We start from the raw sequence: 20,708 nt of genomic DNA, 5'->3' as shown, positions 1-20,708 counted from the left end.
CTCACATGCACACACTTTTTTCCTATTAATCTATAAAAATTATTACAAGGAAATGTGCAACAATATAAACAGAGGAGGTAAACCTCTGAATGATGGGATTATGGGTCATTTACTATTGTTTTAAAAATAACTTCCTATCATTTATTGATATTTCACTATGAGCCAGTAGAGACTTCATCTTCATAAAAAGAGTGAGATTAGGGACAGGAAAGGAGTGTGTGTCTTTTCATATCTTAACTACCGAACCCCGGGGACCTTTCACTCCCTGGATGATCCTGTTGTCACTCATTAGGTTTAATATAAGAAAATAGGGCCCAAGGAGGCATTGCTCATAAATAGTGATTTCTGAGCAGTAGCAGTCAGACCTGGCCTGAGGCAATTTGGAATGAGGCTGCACTTACTGTTCAAAGTTTCTATTAATCCCCTGAGGTGAAGCATCTGACCCATGGTGTCGAACTGGCATCTTGGCCACCGTTCCTAATGAAAGGACTATCTACACATGTGCCTAAGGTAGGTAGCATAATATGTCATGCATCATTTATTAAAGTTCACATGTAGAATTAGGCAATATTATAGCTTTCAGTATCATCTTTCATCTGTGAATAGAAAAGACAAAAGCAGAATTATTAGGCTGGAAGAGACCTTGGAAGATTACTTAGTTCATTGCTTGATCTTTTGGAGAACCATATGAAGTATTGTGTATATTAATCAACCAGTCAACCAAGACTTGTTGCATATTCACAGGTGCACAGCCTTATGAAGTACCTGGCTCTCCCAATGCCCTTCCTTCAATACTATCAAAGTCATATTTTCCCAGGGACTTGAATCATTTTAGATAAGAGCTAACAAAGGTTCAGAACAATACCTTGCTTATTTAGTACAAAACATATCATTCAGATTATGCAGCACTTTTAGTGTGCAGTGGAAGGAATAAAAGCTGAATAAAGCACAGTCCAGTTTTCAAGGATCTCATAACTACTAGCAACTGGGTCCCCAACATCCCCACTTCATAGGTGTACTTATCATCTCAGTTACACCACAACAGCCACGACTGCTTCCCAGTCTTGATTACAGCTCCTAAGCATCTGAAACTCATATGTACCTTGGAAAGTAAGCAAGTTTTGTGGCCACTGATATGTATGCAGGCACACATATCACATATGGCAAAAGCTTGTAGAAGTTTGATATGAGATTGGATTTTTTTTTCAAAGTATGCAACTATGTTTATGGGAAAGCAAAATGTTCAATTTCTAATGCAGTCAATTCAAACTACAGCTTACATCCAAAGAGAGGTCCCAAGTGTTGTTATTCTCAAACTAGTTCCCCAAACCTCCAGATCTCATCTGAACCTCAAAACTTCATATGCAAGCAAATCTTGGTACTGGCACTTCTGTGGCTGGAAGCTAGCCAGCTGCTGTGTTTAAAAATGGTTTGCGTTCCGTGGTTTCTGGTTTGGAGACCATTTGGACTTCACACCCTTCCTCTTTACAACTGTAGAAGAGAAAAGCTAAAGAATTCAGCCTTGAAAATGCATTTCTAGGTAGTGTATATACTGTATGGTTGGCTAAGCATACATGAAAGGTTTTGGTCACACCAGGGTTAAGCACAAACAAAATGTTTTAGGGGTTTATGGAGTAATTTGACCTAAACTCCAAACTTCAGTACTGTGAGGCATGACCTAATGCACGCTACTAGAGTCTTGCATATGAGTATATATAAAGGCACAATATTTGAGATTTATTAATGAGCCAGAATATAGAATCACAGGTCAAAAAGAGGGTTCACATAAGCCACAGAGGCCTGACCTGCCTAAGAAGAGAATGAGTGCTAGCATTTTCCAGGCATTGGAAACTCACGAAAACACCCTGGTTTTCCTTGCTATTGAGTGTTAAACGTCAAACTTTGCCTAGAAACACATTGTCTTCAGGGTAGATTTAATGGATTATGGGCTAGTGGGGTAAAAATATCACTCTGCACACAGTATCTTTTGCAGGTAATTTATACAGAATGAACTGGACACTGTGAGGCCTGCCTGGATACCCTCTTGTGTGACTGACATGCCCACCTCTTAAATGCAGTAGATATTGGCTTCTGAGCAAGAGAAGATGTGCCTCTCACTAGGAATTGCCCTCAGCCACAGGGAACCACCCCAACCAAGTTTACACCCCTTTAAGAGGGCAGCCCATGGCCAATGACTGCAGGATATGGCCTAGCTCCTTCCCTAAGGTTTGCTGGAATCCTCAAGGTCCTCTCAGTTCTAGAGCTCCCTGTGGCCACTGGTGCAACCATATTATACATCAGTGTCACCCTGAATCCATTCTGGCCTTTCTCATTGGTGTGCCGATGTGTCTCCTGAGTTCACTGCAGCCTAATAGGCCTTCTGCATGCAACTCCTCAGAGATACTATATCCAGGAAAATAATTGATAAGTTGCAAAGTTTCCTCATCATGTGCAGCAATTCTAGCCAATTACATTTCAGCATTTTTGGTTCTTACATTTTTTTAAACAGAATGCACCGAGTACTTATTTCAATGTCATTAAAAATATTTTAATACTCCTATGAGCTCAAATTCAACCACCTCTTTCTTCAAATTCAGCTTTCCCTGCAATTGGTAGAAGCTGTCACTGATATGGAAGCTGGATTGTTATCTGGAAATTGATTTTAATCAGGACTTGTTAAATATGTGTTTGTCCATAATGTTATATTGAATAAATTGTACCTCATCACGTTGGCTCATGGCAAAATAGAACAATTAGGCAGCCCAGTGGCAGGTTGACATTTATCAGACTATTTTCACTGTGAGTTTAAATGACAACTATGGCATAATCCAATTTGTGTTTTCATCAGCTTATGGAAGCATCAAAGTGCCTGCAGTGCTTGTGAATGGACTGCCAGTGTGATACACTGATTCAAAAATATATTCTGTCCAGATATCAATTTTTTACATTTTTTCCAGATCAAATCAAGCTAATAAGAAATGCATTTTCTCTGGCATTAGGTATAAAAGTCATTCTGTGTAACTTGGCTCCAATATCACTTGTAGAGAAAGGAGTGGACTGGAAGATCATTGTTTAAAGATTGTTGTTATGCTTGGGAATGTGTATATAGTCTATATTGTAAAACGTATGGCAGCATTATACTGGAAGAACTAACATGTAGAGATGATGAATGCAGAAACAAAGAAAACAACCAGCTCCATCTACCTATCAAAAGTATAAAAGTATAGAAAGGTTATAAAAAAATGAAAATACTCCTGGGCGCAGTGGCTCATGCCTGTAATCTCAGCACATTGGGAGGCCGAGGCTGGTGGATCACAAGGTCAGAAATTCGAGACCAGCCTGGTCAATATGGTGAAACCCTGCCTCTACTAAAAACACAAAAATTAGCTGGGTGTAGTGGCACATGCCTGTAGTCCCAGCTACTCAGGAGGCTGAGGCAGAAGAATTGCTTGAACCCGGGAGGCGGAGCTTTCAGTGAGCTGAGATTGTCCCACTGCACTCCAACCTGGGCGACAGAGTAAGACTCCATCTAAAAAAAAATTAAAAATAAAAATAAAATTATATATATATATATATTTCTCTACCTCATGTTTACTCCTCTGCAAACTCATATTAGTGGTACCACCTTGAATAAGCCTTTAAATACTATACTTGAAACACTATATATTAAAAGCCTGCAGCAAAACCTCTGTCCCTGTCTCACTCCCCTTCAGTTAGAGAAAGAACTGCATTTGAACATCTGATGTGATAAAATAGAATTCCATCTAATTCTATTCCATCTAATTCTATTCTATCTAAATAGAATAGAATTCTATTTAGAATTCTAATATTAGCCCAGTAATTGAGTTGTTAAGATTGGTTTCTAGAAGTACTGCTAATTGCTAGACTGAGGCAAGTTATTCTCCTTTATGCTGGGACCAATTTGTCCTGTTTTTAAGATTGGGATATTAGTATCAAATTTAAACATTATATCTCTCTTACCTAATACTGATCTTATGAAAATAGAGAACGCAAAGCTAAATTTAAGATTCTTAGAAAACAAAGTTGTTGATGATAAAATAACATATTTAATATGGTTTGGCTGTGTCCCCACCCAAATCTCAACTTGAATTGTATCTCCCAGAATTCCCACGTGTTATGGGAGGGACCCAGGGGGAGGTAATTAAATCATGGGGGCCGGTCTTTTCCATGCTATTCTTGAGATAGTGGATAAGTCTCATGAGATCTGCTGGGTTTATCAGGGGTTCCAGGTTTTGCTTCCTCCTCATTTTCTTTTGACACTGCCATGTAAGAAGTGCCTTTTGCCTCCCACCATGACTCTGAGGCCTCCCAACCATGTGGAACTGTAAGTCTAATTAAACCTCTTTTTCATCCCAGTCTCAGGTATGTCTTTACCAGCAGCATGGAAACAGACTAATACAATATTTTGTATTAATATCTTGGTTAACTTAATAGAAAAGTCTATGCTTAATACAATGCTTTGAGCTTGAAGGATTTCAAGAGGGATGCATGACTATTGACCTAAAATGAAGTTATAGGAGTTCTTGGAATTATCTAAATTTTTTTTCTTGATCTATTAAACACTTCACTTTTATGAAGAAGATGTTTTAAAAAAGAAAGCAAACATAAAGGCTAACCAAAAACACACCAGTCCTTCAAGGACAGGCCAAGGAGCTTAGAATTATTTTATGACTAATGCTAACTCTGTTATTATTTAACAACAAAATCTTGCTTAAAATTGCAAAACCAGAGTTGTTGCATTCATGAAATGACAACATTAATGCTTTCTGGATATAGCATACGGTGATTCTTTATTTTACCCAACTAAAAATTTGAAGCCAATAAAATGTTTCTCTCAGACTAGTTGCTTAACTAAATTATTCAACTTTGGGTCAATCTAAATTTCAAAGATACGTTAAAGTTCAGAGAATGCTACTATTGCTACTAATAAAATTAGTTATTTCAATTTTTGTTTTAAAAATTATATCTGCAACAATTAATTTGGAGGTCTTGGGAAATTCAAAAAAAGAATGAACTCCTTGATTTATTGGTTGATTTCTCAATCACATGTTGTAATGCCTACTCTGAGAACAGTATTGCTCTAGGCATTGTGGGAAATTTCGAGATTACTATACAATAAGTAATAATAAATACATGGAAGATAAAGAGATATAGAGACATGTAGTCAATAGGCGACTTCATATCCAATGTAAATAAAATATATAAAAAATTAAACACATTAGTTTTTGTTTACCTGTACTCAAGGTAGTTCCAAATATCCAATGACCTTCATCTTGCAATTGAAGGTAAAATCCAGACTTAGATGCTTTGTTAGATTTGATCTCATTCCCTCATATTTTCTTCTCCAGGGTAGATGTTAGGGGTAGTTTGCCTCACGCCAGGTCTTCCTCCCATCTGGACCTCCTTGGACAAGTTACATACCTTTATTATGACTTAATTTCTGTATCTATAAAAGGAATATGGAAATAACCATATTTTTCCCACTATACTGATAATCGAATTAAATATTTTACAATATTTAAGTCCTAAAAACAGTGGTTGGCACTTAGTAAGTACCTTGCAGGGCCTAGGCATGTTCCCGCTGGCTTCCTCTGCAGTGGAGCTCCCCTAAGGTCTTAGCCAGCATTTCTTGCAGACAATGCCTGATGTCTGAGGTCCCCCCTCAATATCCAAACCCTGGGTTTGCACTCTGAGTTTTTCAAACCCTGACTGAGCCAGGTCATGTCATCCTCTCCCTTGGCTGGTGTGCCTTTGAGGATGCCTTCAGGCCCTTCTCCTGAACAAGGCACTGTGACATTGCTACTGACGATTCTAACTCCATGCCCAATTAGGGCATCTCTCTCTGACTGAAATTTCCAGGAAATCAGGGATCAGGTCCTTTATCTCCTGGGATTTCCCCAAAACAACTGTGAAAATTCCATCTTTTTATTCTATCTCTCCCAAGGTTTTTGATCCTACTAGAGGCCAAGGTACAACTACCTTTGATATGGTTTGGCTGTGTCCCCACCCAAATCTCATCTTGAATTGTAGTTCCCGTAATCCCCAGGTGTAATGGGAGGGCCCCAGTGGGAAGTAATTGAATCATGGGAATGGGGACTATTACCCCCATGCTGTTCTTCTCATGATAGTGAGTTCTCACGAGATCTGATGGTTTTATAAGGGACTTTTCCTTCTTTGCTTGGCAATTCTCCTTGCTGCCACCATGTGAAGAAGGACGTTTTTGCTTCCCCTTCTGCCATGATTGTAAGTTTCCTGAGGCCTCCCCAGCCATGCTGAACTATGAGTCAATTAAACCTCTTTCCTTTATAAATTACCCAGTCCCAGGTATGTCTTTATTAGTAGCATGAGAATGGACTAATACACCCTTTTGAAAAAATTTTGCATCAGTCATTAACCTTCTTTGTATTTTCCATAATTCTGGCTCTTTCCCTCATTAAACAATGACTGTATCATTCTTAGTGGGACTGAGATGGGAGGGGTGAGGAGGGAATGCTGGATGGTGGTGAGACAAGAACTAGCTTCTCATATGAAGTCTTCCCAGCCTCCTGTTTATGAATAAGTTCTATGCCCTGTTTCATCATGTTTTCATTGTTGATATTTGCTATTTATATCTTCTGAATGTCAAATACTTTTTTTATCTCCAGTGCCTGTGTCTACCATTTGAAACATTTGGCTTAAATAGAAAAAAAAAAAAAAAGGAACTCAGCTGTCTTCTTTATTCTAGGATATATATATATATATATGTATATACACTCCTGAAGTGAAGAATAGACCCATACAATGGGCTATCATTCAGCTACAAAAAGAAATACTGGAAAATAAAAAAGAGACAAAAGGCTGCATATTGTTTGATTCCATTTATACAAAACATCCACGATAAGTAAACCTATATAGACATAAAGCTGATTGGTGTTGTTCAGGAGCTGGGGGGTAGGTGGAATAAGGAGTGACTCTTTAGTGGGTATGAGATTTCCATTTGGAGTGATGACAAAGTTCTGGAGCTACCAGAGGTGATGGTTGCACGGCACTGTGAAGGTATTTAATGCCAATGAATTAATTGCACACAGCAAAATAGTTAAAATAGAAAACTTTGTGTTATCTCTCTTTTACCACAATAAAAAAACAAGAATTACAAAAGTAAAATATATTTTTTGAAAACAGTTTTAAGCAATTCTTAAGTAGTTTATATGAAAAGTGAGAATGCTATTTTCTCTTTCATGATTTTTACTTTACAGAGAGAATGCTGCTATTTGCATTCCCTGTGTGTCCTGCTAGAAATTATTCTATACATGCAACAGGATGAGGCTCTCCAGTACAGTGTCATAACTTAGCAGGGGTTCTGGGACCTTTTTTTCCTTCCAGAGTATTATAATTCTCTGAAATCCAAGAAGTACAAACTTTACTTTGAAGAGATTGCACGTAGTAGATTGTACTACTTGTTTCCAATTACATCCATCCCCTTTCTACCCCGTCCTGTGAAGTAATATGTTCACTTCTCCATAGATTTTGGGGTTAGGCATGCTTCTAGCTTTGGCCAGTGGGTTGTGAAAAGATAATGTGTTTGCCTTATATTAGCAGAAACCTTTAGAAATATTGCAAGAACCCTCTTTCCCCCTCACTCTGCTACTGGAGCTCCTTCCCTCAACCTGGGAACCATATAAAAAGACATGGAGTGCCACACTGAGCGGGGCTGGGCTGATTCCTGTAGTGCCCAGCAGAACCTGGCAGAACTGCAACTTCCCAGAGACCCCAGGTGACCTTCAGCAAGAACCATGAGTCAGTTGTAAGAACTTAAGATCTGGGGCTTATTTGTTGCCTCAGTAAAAGCTGAAAAATACATGCGCTCTGGTATGAAGAAATACTGGGATGTGCATGAGATAAAGTTCAGATGGGACCCACAAAACCAAAAATTTTCCAAATCAAAGTGTTAACCAGCTCTTCTGATCTTCCAGGGTCTGGGGAGGCACCAGTGAAGTAAACTGACAATGATACCAGCTGTAGAGAAGCTCCTATTGCAGTGCAAGGAGACAAAAATGGATAAGTAAAACATTCTGTGTATTATTAAGATAAATGTTACAGAGAAAAATATATCAGGAAAGGGAGAGAGGAATATATCTAAATGGAGAAAGGTGAAATTAAACATAGGATGTTTGAGAACATCTTTACTGGGAAAGTCGCATTGGAATAAATATATGCAGGAGGCAAGGAGGCCTGAGTTGATGTGGGTAAAGGATGTTTGTAACAGAGGAAACCAAAAGTGCAAATGTCTTGCGTTGAGAGCATGATGGTTTTGATGAAAATATTTAATGGGTGTTTGATGAAAATGAAGGAGAACGATCAGTTTAGAAAAAAATAAAAGGTGAGATACATATCAAATCGCCCAGCGGCTTGCGGAATGCAGATTTCTAAGCTCTCAGAGATTCTGATTCCATAAACCTCAGGTGGGGCCCATGAATTTGCATGTCTAATAAGTTCTCAGGGAAATACTGATGCAGCGCAACACCAGGAGCACCTTGGGAACTACAGCTCCAGGGCTTTGCAGGTTGTGAGGAGGACTTCGGTGTCTCCTCTGAGTGAGATGGAAAATCACAAGGATGTTTTTAGCAGAGGAGAGACATTAGCTGACCACCAGGATGATTGTGACTGTGTTGAGAATAAGCAAGAAAGTGCTAAAAGTGGAAGCAGAGAAGCCAAATATGAACAGTACTGAAACATGGGACAATTATACTGGCCTTATGCAAAAAGAAAAATGATTCCTTTTGTTTAGTAAGAGGTAAGACAGTTCCTGATGCGGGTCGGGACATGTTGAGAGATATTCCAACCAATGCCCTCTGTTTTCTCTGGCAAGGTCATCTAACTTGATGAGTGGGAAAGTGAGGAGGGGTGTTGGTTACTTTTGCAGGGAGAATAAAAAGATCATTGCAGAGCGTGGGAGAGCTAATTGAGTGAAAAAATATTTTATTATTCCAGAACACCCTTCCATAAACAAATGAGGTTATGACTATGGATTTGTAGTTAAGAGATGTTAAAAGGTACATCATTTGTTAAGCTTGTTAAACTAACACTAGGACCACTCTTGGCACTTACATATCCCAAATACAAAACCCAATACATCTTCCTTGTTTCAAAAACGGTCTCTTGGAGAATGATGCCCAAGGGTTCCTTGAGTTTTAATGAATAAGCATTTGCTGAGTGAATGCACCAACACTTTGTGTAATACTACCAGTATCACTTTCCTTCTGCCAAATACTTTAAATAAAAACTCCACCAAAGATGACGTAAAATAGAATCAAAACCTGCTGGTAGGGTGTATAAGCAAGATAGAATCAGAGTTTACTAAAATCAGTATTTAATGGAGAAGATGACGGCAGTGATGATATTAGCTAACCGTGCTGAATATTATTATCTGACAGGCACTCTTCTAAGCCTTGTCCTGTTTTAACTCATTTCATCCTTTTCAAAATTGGATGAGATTGGTACTAATATTATTCCCATTTCGCAAAGATGAAAACTGCAGACCAGCAGTATACCCAGTGTTGCACAGACAGCATAAGGAGCAGTGAGGTCTGAACTAAGGCATTCTGCCCAGGGCTCTGTGCTTTTTAACAACTACACCAGAAGCAAGTGAGAATTACAGAATGTTAAATTTGGGCTCTTTTGTTTTTCCTTTTCTAAGGTAGACTGCGGGGAATGACCCTTGTAACTGAATACTGCACCATAATTATAATGGGAAGCTGTTTCTATCTCAGAATCTGGCCCTGAACGATCCTAGGATATTTAGGCCAAAAATGCAGGGGAGAGAGTCCTGATGGGGGGCGTGGCTGTGAGTGGAGGGGGAAGGAAAGTGAGGCCAACCACACACTTTCTGCTGCAGCTTCTGCACCCTCTTGGAAAGACACTGTGAACCACATTGAGCTAACTCTTGATACACCCGCAGATACCCACACTCACTGCTCTTCCTAAAGACAGGCACTTGGCTCTTTAACCTTGAAATGGGGAATCCAGAAAAAAAAAAAAAACAGTTAAAGATATTTTATTCAATTAATACCTTGCACGAAGCCATATTAAAATGTTTTCTGCTGTCTCCACTCTTGCCCTCTCAATATCTTTCAATATTTTAGATATATATATATCTAAAAATGTTAAATTTAACTTTGGGAGGATTTAAGGATACTTATAAAAATAACCATTCAGTTACTTTCTAATAATCATTTATCCAAGTTTAGGATTCTTGCAAGGAAGAAGACATTAAAATGGCCGCTCTACTACTTTTATCTGCTAGTAAATAAATTCATGATGAACATTTAGAAGGTCGCTGAAGTTAAGAGAGCTAGTATTCCCCACAGGATTTAAATCATTGAGGCTTTTGGCCGCATTTATCACTTGTAAAAAGAATTTTACTGACCAGGAATAAATACATTTACAATGTGTCTAAGTAACGCCTGTGTGATTTTCATTTACATGACAATGACCCTTTCCACTGTTTTCTTACAACTTTCCCTTCGACTGCCTGATGTTTATTGGTTCATTATTTGTAAAAGAGTAAAACCTCATCTGAAAAAAAAAAAAAAAAAAGAAAGTGTGTTGTGTCTTTAATTTTAAAAACCGCCCAAGGGCCCTATGGGGGATATTAAATCTGTCTCTTTGCTGTATATCTTGATGTACATTTTAGTTGAAACCAGGTGTTTTGTATATTGAACTTTTTAACACTGCAGGGAGGTAAGTATTCACAGCTGGAGTTTTATGCTTCACACATTTTCATGTTTGAGAACAAGAAGCAACCCCTAGGAAAACCTCCTCCGGCATGAAGAGAGGCTGAACAATGCGCTTCTGTAGCTAGTGGCAGGCCATGGATATGATGAAGTCACAGATATCGGAACTGAATGCGAGATAGATGCCAGTGAAACCAAGACAAAAACTTTCAAGGAATCCAAGTGCACAGGTTCTCAGATCAATCACAAGCGATGAGGTTGTCACTGCACAGAGGGGCTGAAAAGCAGCATCAAAGCCACTAAAGAGAGGGGAGAAGCTTTTGTTGGGCCGGCTTTTGTCTTCATAACCAGCATTGGAAGCCAGCTCACATCAACTGAAAGGCCGAGTTAATCTATTTCTAGTGAACATTGTTCGACTGTGTGTAGTTAGCCCGTAATCATTAAAGAAAAATAACTAGGTTGGCATGACCAAAAAAGCATTGATTTTCCTGTGGAGCACATTTGTATGAGTTGAATTTTTTGCATATGTTATTGTGCGCATGAGAGAGAAGAGGTGACTGACCTCACAAAACAAATGCACACAGCAGCGCTGCTTCTTAGCCTCCACAATGAACTTGGTGTTTGTAGAGCAAGACGTAAGATGGCCTATTAAAATTAAAAACATAACATTTCTAATTCAGCCTTTTATGGATTCACTTTAACCTTTAAAGACTCCTTAAAAATACAGCAACAAAAAAAGCACCTTTTCACGATTTGGTTAGCCTTCCTGGAGAAATTTGTCATGGCATTGCACTGAGAGTTTTGTTCTTTGTGGCCAGTAAGAAAAGATTCAGAGAGGGGGTACCGCTAGAGAAGGACAGGGTGAGGGAGACCGATACACTGCAATGTCTTCATCCCTTCTTAGTATGTGACTTTGATGTCCCACATCTCCAGAAAAGAGCTTCATGTTAGCTCTGATCATTCCAGATCAATCCAGCCCCCATGCAAATGCAGTGATCAGGCTATATTTAGTAAAATGTTGTTCATTTTAAGTTTTTTTATTATTTGAGAGCAGAGACTTCCAGTAGGCACAGTTTAGACCCTGTTATCTTTGTCTCACCTCCCTCTGCTCCAAGACCTCAGAGACCCAGACTGTTGTTAGGATGTCAGCGCTTGGAGGCACGCAGTGGCTGAGCACTGGGTTCTGTGCAGCTCTGACAGTAGGCACCATGAGTTTTCAGGCCAAGAAAAATAACTTAAAACCCTAAGAAAATAAACAACCCCAAGGCTACCAAGGAAGGAGAGATTATAGCTGAAAAATGTCAGTACTTGACAGCACAAAACAGTTGCCCACATATGATGGGGGAAGGAAAATCTAAAAAACAAAAAGTTGATGGGTGTTTTAACATGTTTTTTGGCAGAATATTTTCGAAGTGGATTGAAATATTTTCCTTCCCAGTTAGACCTAGGCTCATGGTGTTTTGCTAATGATTCTCTGAATAAGTGTTTTCTTCAATTGCTTTGAGTGACATAAGTTGCTCAGATGGGTCACACCCTCATGTTGGAACATCGAGTATGAAGTTTCATGTGGACACACAGAGCAGAAAATCTGCCTTTTTTGGAATTTGGGGGTACAGATTCGCTCTGTGTTTGTGACAGAATGTCATCTTCTGTTTGTGAGGAAGCAGGTTGAGGAGTCAATAATGGATGAAAGTACAGGAGTCAGAGATTGTGGAAGATTCTGAATGAGAATGAGTCCAAGAAGGAGGGCTTGGCTGGCCTGTAAGTATCATGTTCTCTGAGCTGGAGGGTAACAAGACACAGTGATGCAAATCACTGTCTCTCACTACAGGTGGCTTGGGAGTCCTTATCTGATGCACATGTGCTTTTCAGCCTTTGCACAATAACATGTATCTTTTCATTTAAGCTTGTGGCAATTATTTGAGACTGATTCTATTACCATCTGCACAGAGGCCAACTTACTTAAATGAGAAATAAAACCCACTAAGTTTTTCTGGCTAGGGTAGGCTTATCTAGTTTAAAGCCATAACTTCTATTAGTTCTACGTAAACCAAAATTGGTAATTCGGAGATTTACAAGATCTTGGAAAATTCAACTTTCTGTTCCGATTCTTCACCTCATATTCAAGTTAACATACATTAATCTAGACCTGGAAACTGAAATCTGATGTGCGTAGGCCTAAATGAGAGGACAGAATCACTCCTTCAACAATGTATTAATAAATATTTCAACTGTATTAATAAACACAATAAACACACTGATAAAATGATGACTATGTGATAGGCCCTGGGCTAGGTGTCAAATACACAGTAATAAATAAGATGAGTTCTATATCTTTAAGGACCATGTATTCTAAATTCCATCTGGAGTATAATTTTTATTTCTCAATTCTATTTTGTCTGTCATTTTTCCTTTATTTTTATGGATTTCTGCATTAAATAACTTAAAAATTTTAATTATAGGCCATTGTATATTTTTAGTCCAGTTGAAAAAGCACCTTTTACTAACTACAGACTGTGGACAGTGATTATGTAGGAATTGAAGAAATAAAAATAAAACAGGAGAAGATCTCACCTTACAGGGAGGGATCTTCCAGACCAGGGGACAACATTATTAAACCATATCTTTCTCTAGACATGCAAATATCATTGTCATGAAAGAGATCTAGCCAGGCAGCCTGTTATTCAGAGGATTTGTAGAAGGTATTTCTGCAAAACACCATTCTACTCCATTGTATTAAAAGTTTATTAGTATTAATCAGTGTCTGAAGAAAGCAATTTGAAACTAGAATTTTTTTTTATTCTGTGCCCTAGGATGTCAGCCTAGATTATCTGACAGCTGTCACAGTGGCTTCAATTTGATTAGAATTTCTTAATGCCACCATCCTTTGATCAATTCATTTATGTAATCATTCATATGTTTCTCAAAACATTTATTAAGCATCTACTATATGCTTTACTTTACCAGGTGTTACATTTTAAGCCAAATTTTAGATTCTTTTCTAAAAGACAGAACTGCTATCTATTTGCCTTTACAGCTTGATGCCTCTTTAAGGCAGGAGAGACAGCACAGATAGTTGTTGTCATGGGCAGTTTGGAATAAGTATCTACTTCCAGTGATTTTTTTTAGATACATAAATGAGAGTTATAAGAATATTTCATAAAAGTTCTAAGAACTTGTATCCAATTAAGATGACCCTTCAAATGAGAGCTTTTCCTATTCCCTGGTTTTATCTTATTTTATTTATTTATTTATTTATTTATTTATTTATTTATTGTGCTTCCTCCCTGCCCCATAATGTTTTTGTATTTCCAGATAAAATCAAATAAAATTAAGCCTTTATCAGGGACATACTCAAGCCACAATTTTTAGCTGGAGACATTTCAAGGAAATCTTACTTTTTAAGAGATTGTCTGAATGACAGAGAAGGCAAAGAGGCAGCTCAAATTACCTAAGGCCATGAGGCATTCAAATTCTATACTTGGGCAAACATCAGCTCCCTCCCTGATGTGTCTGGGAGCAAGGCACAATAGCAGGATGACGGAGCAGTCCCTTGTCTCCTGCTCTGTGTTCATTAGAGGGGACTCCAGCCCCTCCACTGGCATGATTCAGTACAGGCGTCCATGAATTGTTGCAATTGCACAATGGGGCAAGCTACTGGCAGTATTTGCCACATCAGCATTCCTGGTTCAGAAAACACAGGCTCTTCCACAGACTAATGAATTGAGGTGAGACTGGGGTCTAAGTTCTGCAATTGACCACGATGGATGATTGTCATTAGCACTTGACCAAAGCCAGTTTGCTCAGAGGATTAGAGGAGGCCAATCCCGGGAGGCCAGCCTGTGGGGAATCAGCTTAGGTAGTTAACCTTTACCTCTCATTCTGCAAACTTGGGCTCACATCGTGAGAGATGTATGTATCTCCCATTTCCCTCTGTCCTGCTTTGTTTCTCTCTGCTTCCTCACTTCCTGATCATCAGAAACTACTTAGAACCTCCAAACTCACCAGGCTGACCACCCAGGCTTCAGAATTGAGGACTCTTACTTGCGCAGTTATTGCAATGGGGTGTTTGGGAGTGAAAGTGGGGATTGTAACTTGCCTCAAAACTGATGTATACATCATGACATCATGGTGGTGATTGATTATTTCTTTTTTTTTTTTCCTGGAGAAAAGCATAAGTTCCTTTGGTGCCTAAATCTATTATAAAATTTGGCATTTGCAAATATTGGATGAGCTTCCGTAATCAAAGAAAGTTTCACTTATCTCTCTTTTATTGAACATCTCGAGCCCATACTGAGACAGAATTTCAATTAATAGTTTAGTAATGAAAGAATTGTAAATTAACCTTTAACTTGATAAAAAATAACTAGGGCACAAGTCAATATACATTATTAATAATCATCACAATTTTGTTTTGTTCCAAACCTTTAAGTCACAAGACTTTATATTTTTGGAATAATTTATGCAGTTAAATATTCTAATGCAATCAAATTTAAGTATTTCTCTTTCATTCATAGCCCTGCTTTGCTTACAATCAAATGAGATACAAGGTATTTAAACAACTAACTATAATGTTTGGACATCTGTGCTTTTAAAAATAGATAGACTAGTTCAAAAAAACACAAATAACAAAATTCATAATAAGTAAACACTTTGTCACTTTGTTAAGTGTTCAGTATCTATAACCTACTTAGGTATTATTTCAGCATAATATACATTATTACATTAACGACAAAAAAATAAATACCTTAGATCTGTACAAAAGTATAGACTGAACTAGATAAGACAAGAGAACATTTTTATAGATTTGAACTCAGAGAGCTCTGCACGTCACTTTAAGACATGGCTGAACTGTCCAAGAAGCATCTGTGATTATTGGGGTGTCCTCCCTGTGAAACTTAAAACATATTAATCTCTGACAATCACTTGCAATCAGGTAAGATTTTCATCCTGAGCTAATGTATGCTGTGCTGAAAACTTTACTCCCCATTTCTCACATACGGAGATGATTCTAATATGTTCCCAAATGCTAAACTTATTAAGATAGTCTGAAAATAAAATTTAGATTTGACATTTTATTTATAGTTATAATATCATGTAACTTCTAGATATATACTGTGTAGTATAATATGTTAGCAATAATATATGCAACATTAGACACATATGTATATGTGTATACAGACACTTGAGGGCCACATATTGTTAACCACCCTATAATTGGATAATACAGTTCCATAAGCAAGTGAGTTCTACCTATATTTCCAATCTTTTTTTTTTCTTTTTTTCTTTTGAGGCAGAGTCTCCCTCTGTCTCCCAGACTGGAGTGCAGTGGCATGATCACAGCTCACGGTAACCTTGAACTCCAGGGCTCACTGCAATCTAGTAGCTAGGACTACAGCACACCCAGGCCACCATATCTGGCTACTTTGGTTTATTTCTTATAGAGACATGGTCTCACTGTGTTGCCTGGCTGGTCTCAAACTTCTGGTCTCAAGCAGTCCTCCTGCCTCAGCCTCCTGAAGCTCTGGGATTACAGGCATGAGCCACTGCCCCTAGCCCTCCAATTTTTTTCCTTATTTTCAATCTGTGCCATAACTTCTAAGCATATGTGAGTTTTCCATACTTACTTAATATCTGAAAACCAAATTTTTTGATTCACTGGGAATGCCGGACCCCTTAGTATCATTGAAGTTCTTGGAATTTAAGATTTTTATTTTTGAATAAGGCACATATCACCTCTGGTGAAATCATTATAACTGACTGTCAATAATGTTCAAGAAGACAGAATTTTAATACATACCAAATGGCACCCCTTGGGGAGGGGGTGGGTGTGGAAAAAAAGCTAACCAAGAACTTAGATGTACATATATTCACAATGATGATTACCCAGCAGGAATATCTTAGAACAAGGCTGCTTGTTTATAGTGAATGTAATGAGCTTTCCGTACTGAGCTCAACTCTTTTTAGAACCACAAACAAAGAAAGTGTGTATTAGAAGAGCTCTTCAACTTACACCATCAATTGGACTCTCTGCCAAACTACAGGAGCAATCTGAGACCTTGACTAGGGTAAGTGGTTCTTAGCAGAGTTCATGACAAAATAGCGAAAGCCAGGGGTGTTCTACCAACAGCACGTGCTGTATACTGAGTTCCTTTCATACTTGCAAGAGGCCAGCATTTATTTATTTTGCATTGTATGCAAACATCTTCAGTGATAGAAGAAATGAAACATTTTATATATTATTTGATAAAGATATTTGTCTCTTAAAAAGAATAATGTTAGCATCAGATAAATGCACTTAAAGCAGTAAGATGACCAATTTTGCCTGAAATGGTATTTAAGAGTGGGAATTGGTATTTCATGATAGTTTTGATTTGCATTTCCCTAATGACTAGAGATGAACATCCTTTCATGGGCTTATTGGCCATTTGTATATCTTCTTTGGGGAAATCTCTATTTAAGTCTTTTTTTTTAAATTGTGCTGTCTGCCTGTTTTTAAGTTGGGTTGTGTGTTTTGCTGTTGTTGCTTTAGGAGTTCTCTTTATATTCTGAATATTAATCCCTCATTAGATATATGATGTGCAAATATTTTCTCCTATTCTGTGAGCTGCATTTTGATTCTGTTGACTGTGTCCTTTGAAGATCTATTTTTATTTTCTTTTACTTTCTATAAAATGCATTTTGTCTATTTTTTACTTTGTTGCCTGTGTCTTTGGTGTCCTAGCCAAGAACTTATTGCTAGCTCAATATTGTGAAGTTTTGTCCTGTGTTTTGTTTTAAGAGTTTTATAATTTCTGGTCTCTGTTTAGATACTGAATTCATTTTTATTTAAATACTACATCATGTTTTACATAGTATTAGGTAAGGGTCCAACTTGATTCTTTTGCATGTGGATATTTAGTTTTCCTAGCACCATTTTTTAAAAAAGACTTTTTTCCCCCATTGAATAGTTTTAACACCCTTATTAAAAATCACCTGCACATATTTTTGAGGATTTACTTCTGGACTCTCTATTTCTTTCCACTGGTCTCTGTCTTTAGGTCAGTACCACACTGTTTTGATTGTTGTAAGACTAGTACATTTTTAAATCAGAAAGTGTGAGTTTTTCAGCTATGTTTTCCTTTTCAGAATTGTTTTTGCTATTTGGGATTTCTTGAGATTCTATACATATTTGGGAATGGATTTATCTATTTCTGTAAAAAATGCCATTGGAAATTTGAAAGGGATTGGATGAAATCTACAGATACCGGTAGGTAGTATTGACATCTTAACAATGTTAAGTCGTTCAATCCATGAACATAGAATGTCTGGGAGACATTTGTTTTTGAAAAACAGTGACAAAGAAATTTTAACAAAATCCATTTAACAATATCCCAAAACTCAGTACAAAATATTAGTTAAAAAGGAACACTTCTGTGTGAAAAAATTATATTTAAAAATTTAACTTGTGCTAACGAACACTTAAACATCTAAAAAGTACGAAGTACTGAGTCATTAATTGGACCAATTTGATTAGATTCCACCAAAGGAGTTATATTTTCGGTCAAAATACTTGATATCTGGACGTAATTATAAGTTCATACCCAAAGAGTTTATAAACATCATTTCATAAAACAGTCTTCTATATATTATGATCCAAATAGATGTGTGATACATAAAATTGTAAGCCAGGCTTTAAATCAGGAAGCGGAGATAATAATGTATGAGTCTGGTTTGAAAAATGCTGCAATATGCTTTAAGATGATTAGCACCTCTTCTTGCAGGCTGTGTGCATGTGTATGTGTGTAAATACTATGAACGGGTATAGTAAGACTCTTAAAAATTTACATACTGATATTTACTATATCATAGATCTTGAACCTGGTAATCCCCGTAACCATTACACACATACACAAATGCATATGCACATATTCAATAAATCTACATATATACTAGATCGATATATTTACATGTACATACATGCAATATACTTATATATAATATGTTTATGTTATTTATATAGTGTATATTCATACAATAATGATATAAAACTTTGCTAGACTTAAATGGTAAAAATTCAAGGACATTATTCCCAATTTGAAAAATTGGAATATAAATTTTGGTAATACATAAAACATTTTATGATTTTATTAATGAAAAATAGCATTTTAAGTACATTTTATATACAAATAAAGTAGAACAAATTAGAAAAAGTATTATGATAAAATTACATTAAAAAATAATTACTGGGATCTGGCAGGGCCTTTGTCTCTTTCTTCAGACAGAGCTCCACATCCTGTCTTCACCGCTCCGTGCCCTCTGCTCCTGGAGACCCTAGGTGACTCTACTGCAGACTCTGTGATTCTGGGACTGGAAGGTATTGGGAGATCCATCCATAACTAAGGCAGCAGGATCCCTGGAAGCCAGGAAATATTTTCTAGTGCCATGATGGCTGACTAGAAGCTGATGTCTGCCATTCTCATGGGGAGGAGAAACAGTGGTGAGTATACATTAGCTCCTGACCTGGATGGTCCAGGAGGACACTTTGGGATGCATCCAGGAAACAATGTGACCCACAGAGAACAAAGAAGAGCAAGACCAGACAGGATTGGGACTAAAGAGGAGGCTCCCCACTGTGTGGAACGGTGAGTGAATGAAAGCCCCCGAGGACCACACTTTTGCCACAGACCTTTGCAACTCTGGGCTCAGGCAATTCCCTGTGATCATCCCTTCCCATCCCCACCAGGGCTTCCAGACTGACACAGAGAGTGACATGGAGTCTGGGCAGAGCCACTGTGCAGGCACATGCCTAGCCTTAGGGAACTTGGACAGCTGGACACCCCAGCACCAGCAACTGAAGCGCTGGCAACAGGGGAGGCCAGACTCCCTTACACGCTGTCAGAATAGGAGCTGAATCTATGGGGCTGAAGAGCAGATGGACTGCAGGCCTTGCCTGTACTGCACAGTACAGGACAAAGCCAAGTGGCCTGGGACCCTAGCATGGCCAACCCAGCCCTGCCTGAGCTCTTGGGCCAGTAGCAGCCCTGTACTTCCCTGGGATGGAGCTCCCAGCACTCGCACACGGGCCCACCAGTTTTGCTGCTCTACAGCACCCCCCAACAACCCCCCCACCACCACACCTGCTGCCCTCAGGCTTGGGAGACAGTGAAGTGATTAAGGACTAATTCAGACCCCAGCACAGCACAGCTGTTTTATGCAAAAGCTGCCAGACTGTTTTCCACATGGGTCCTTTCCCCTGCTACTTCTCACTGGGTAGGGCCTCCCAACCAGGGACCTAAGCCACCCCAGACCCACCCGAGCTCTCGGGCTGGCAGCAGCTCTGCACTTCCCTGAGATGGAGCTCCCAGAGGCGGCAGGGAGGCCCACCATTGTTATGTTCTGCAGCTCCTGCCTCTGCTGCCCTCAGGCTAAGGAGGGAGGAAGAGCTTAAGGACTAACACAGGCCTCCAGCACTGTGCAGCTGCCTTACACAATAGTGGCCACAGTGTTTTCCACATAGGTCCCTGCCCCTGTTACTCCTCACTAGGCAGGGACTCTCAACCTGGTCCCCAGCCCAACCATCCTGTCCCTGACTGAACCCTTCAGTCGGTGGTGGCTCCGTGTTACTCTGGGGAGGAAATTCCACAGACAACCAACAGCCCTCTCCCATTGCAGCTGCAGTGGTATTACCCTTCCTGCCTTCGGGCTGGGGAAAGAACAAAGGGCTTGGTTGCATCGCTGGCACCTCCAGCACTCCACAGCTGCCATGCAGAGCAGAGAATAGTCTTTCTTCCCCCACCCACTACTCTTCACAAGGCTGAGCCCCCGGCTTAAGGCAGCAGAGCAGCTACCCCAAACCCAAGTGAGCACCAAACCCAACTCACATGTTAAGTGAGGAGCCTGGTGGGAGGTGATTGAATCATGGGAGAAGACTTCCCCTTTGCTGTTCTTGTAATAGTGAACGAGTGCTCACAAGATCTGGTTGTTTTAAAGTGT

General features: G+C 38.8%; 4 annotated features.

The window, feature by feature from the left end:
- Window positions 10,224–11,159: an enhancer, noted in NCBI's record as "OCT4-NANOG hESC enhancer chr13:105934754-105935689 (GRCh37/hg19 assembly coordinates)". NCBI's record gives its function as "activates a minimal SCP1, AML or CMV promoter by ChIP-STARR-seq in naive H9 embryonic stem cells {active_cell/tissue: H9 hESC(naive)}" and the evidence as "EXISTENCE:reporter gene assay evidence [ECO:0000049][PMID:30033119]".
- Window positions 13,920–14,420: an enhancer, noted in NCBI's record as "OCT4-NANOG-H3K27ac hESC enhancer chr13:105931493-105931993 (GRCh37/hg19 assembly coordinates)". NCBI's record gives its function as "activates a minimal SCP1, AML or CMV promoter by ChIP-STARR-seq in primed H9 embryonic stem cells {active_cell/tissue: H9 hESC(primed)}" and the evidence as "EXISTENCE:reporter gene assay evidence [ECO:0000049][PMID:30033119]".
- Window positions 14,421–14,921: an enhancer, noted in NCBI's record as "OCT4-NANOG-H3K27ac hESC enhancer chr13:105930992-105931492 (GRCh37/hg19 assembly coordinates)". NCBI's record gives its function as "activates a minimal SCP1, AML or CMV promoter by ChIP-STARR-seq in primed H9 embryonic stem cells {active_cell/tissue: H9 hESC(primed)}" and the evidence as "EXISTENCE:reporter gene assay evidence [ECO:0000049][PMID:30033119]".
- Window positions 19,024–19,201: a silencer, noted in NCBI's record as "fragment chr13:105926712-105926889 (GRCh37/hg19 assembly coordinates)". NCBI's record gives its function as "represses an EF-1alpha promoter that drives an FKBP-Casp9 reporter gene in an ReSE screen in HepG2 liver carcinoma cells {active_cell/tissue: HepG2}" and the evidence as "EXISTENCE:reporter gene assay evidence [ECO:0000049][PMID:32094911]".

The sequence above is a fragment of the Homo sapiens genome, chromosome 13, assembly GCF_000001405.40.
Source record: "Homo sapiens chromosome 13, GRCh38.p14 Primary Assembly".
In the NCBI taxonomy this organism is placed as follows: domain Eukaryota; kingdom Metazoa; phylum Chordata; class Mammalia; order Primates; family Hominidae; genus Homo; species Homo sapiens.
This window is presented reverse-complemented; position numbering and strand designations above follow the sequence as displayed.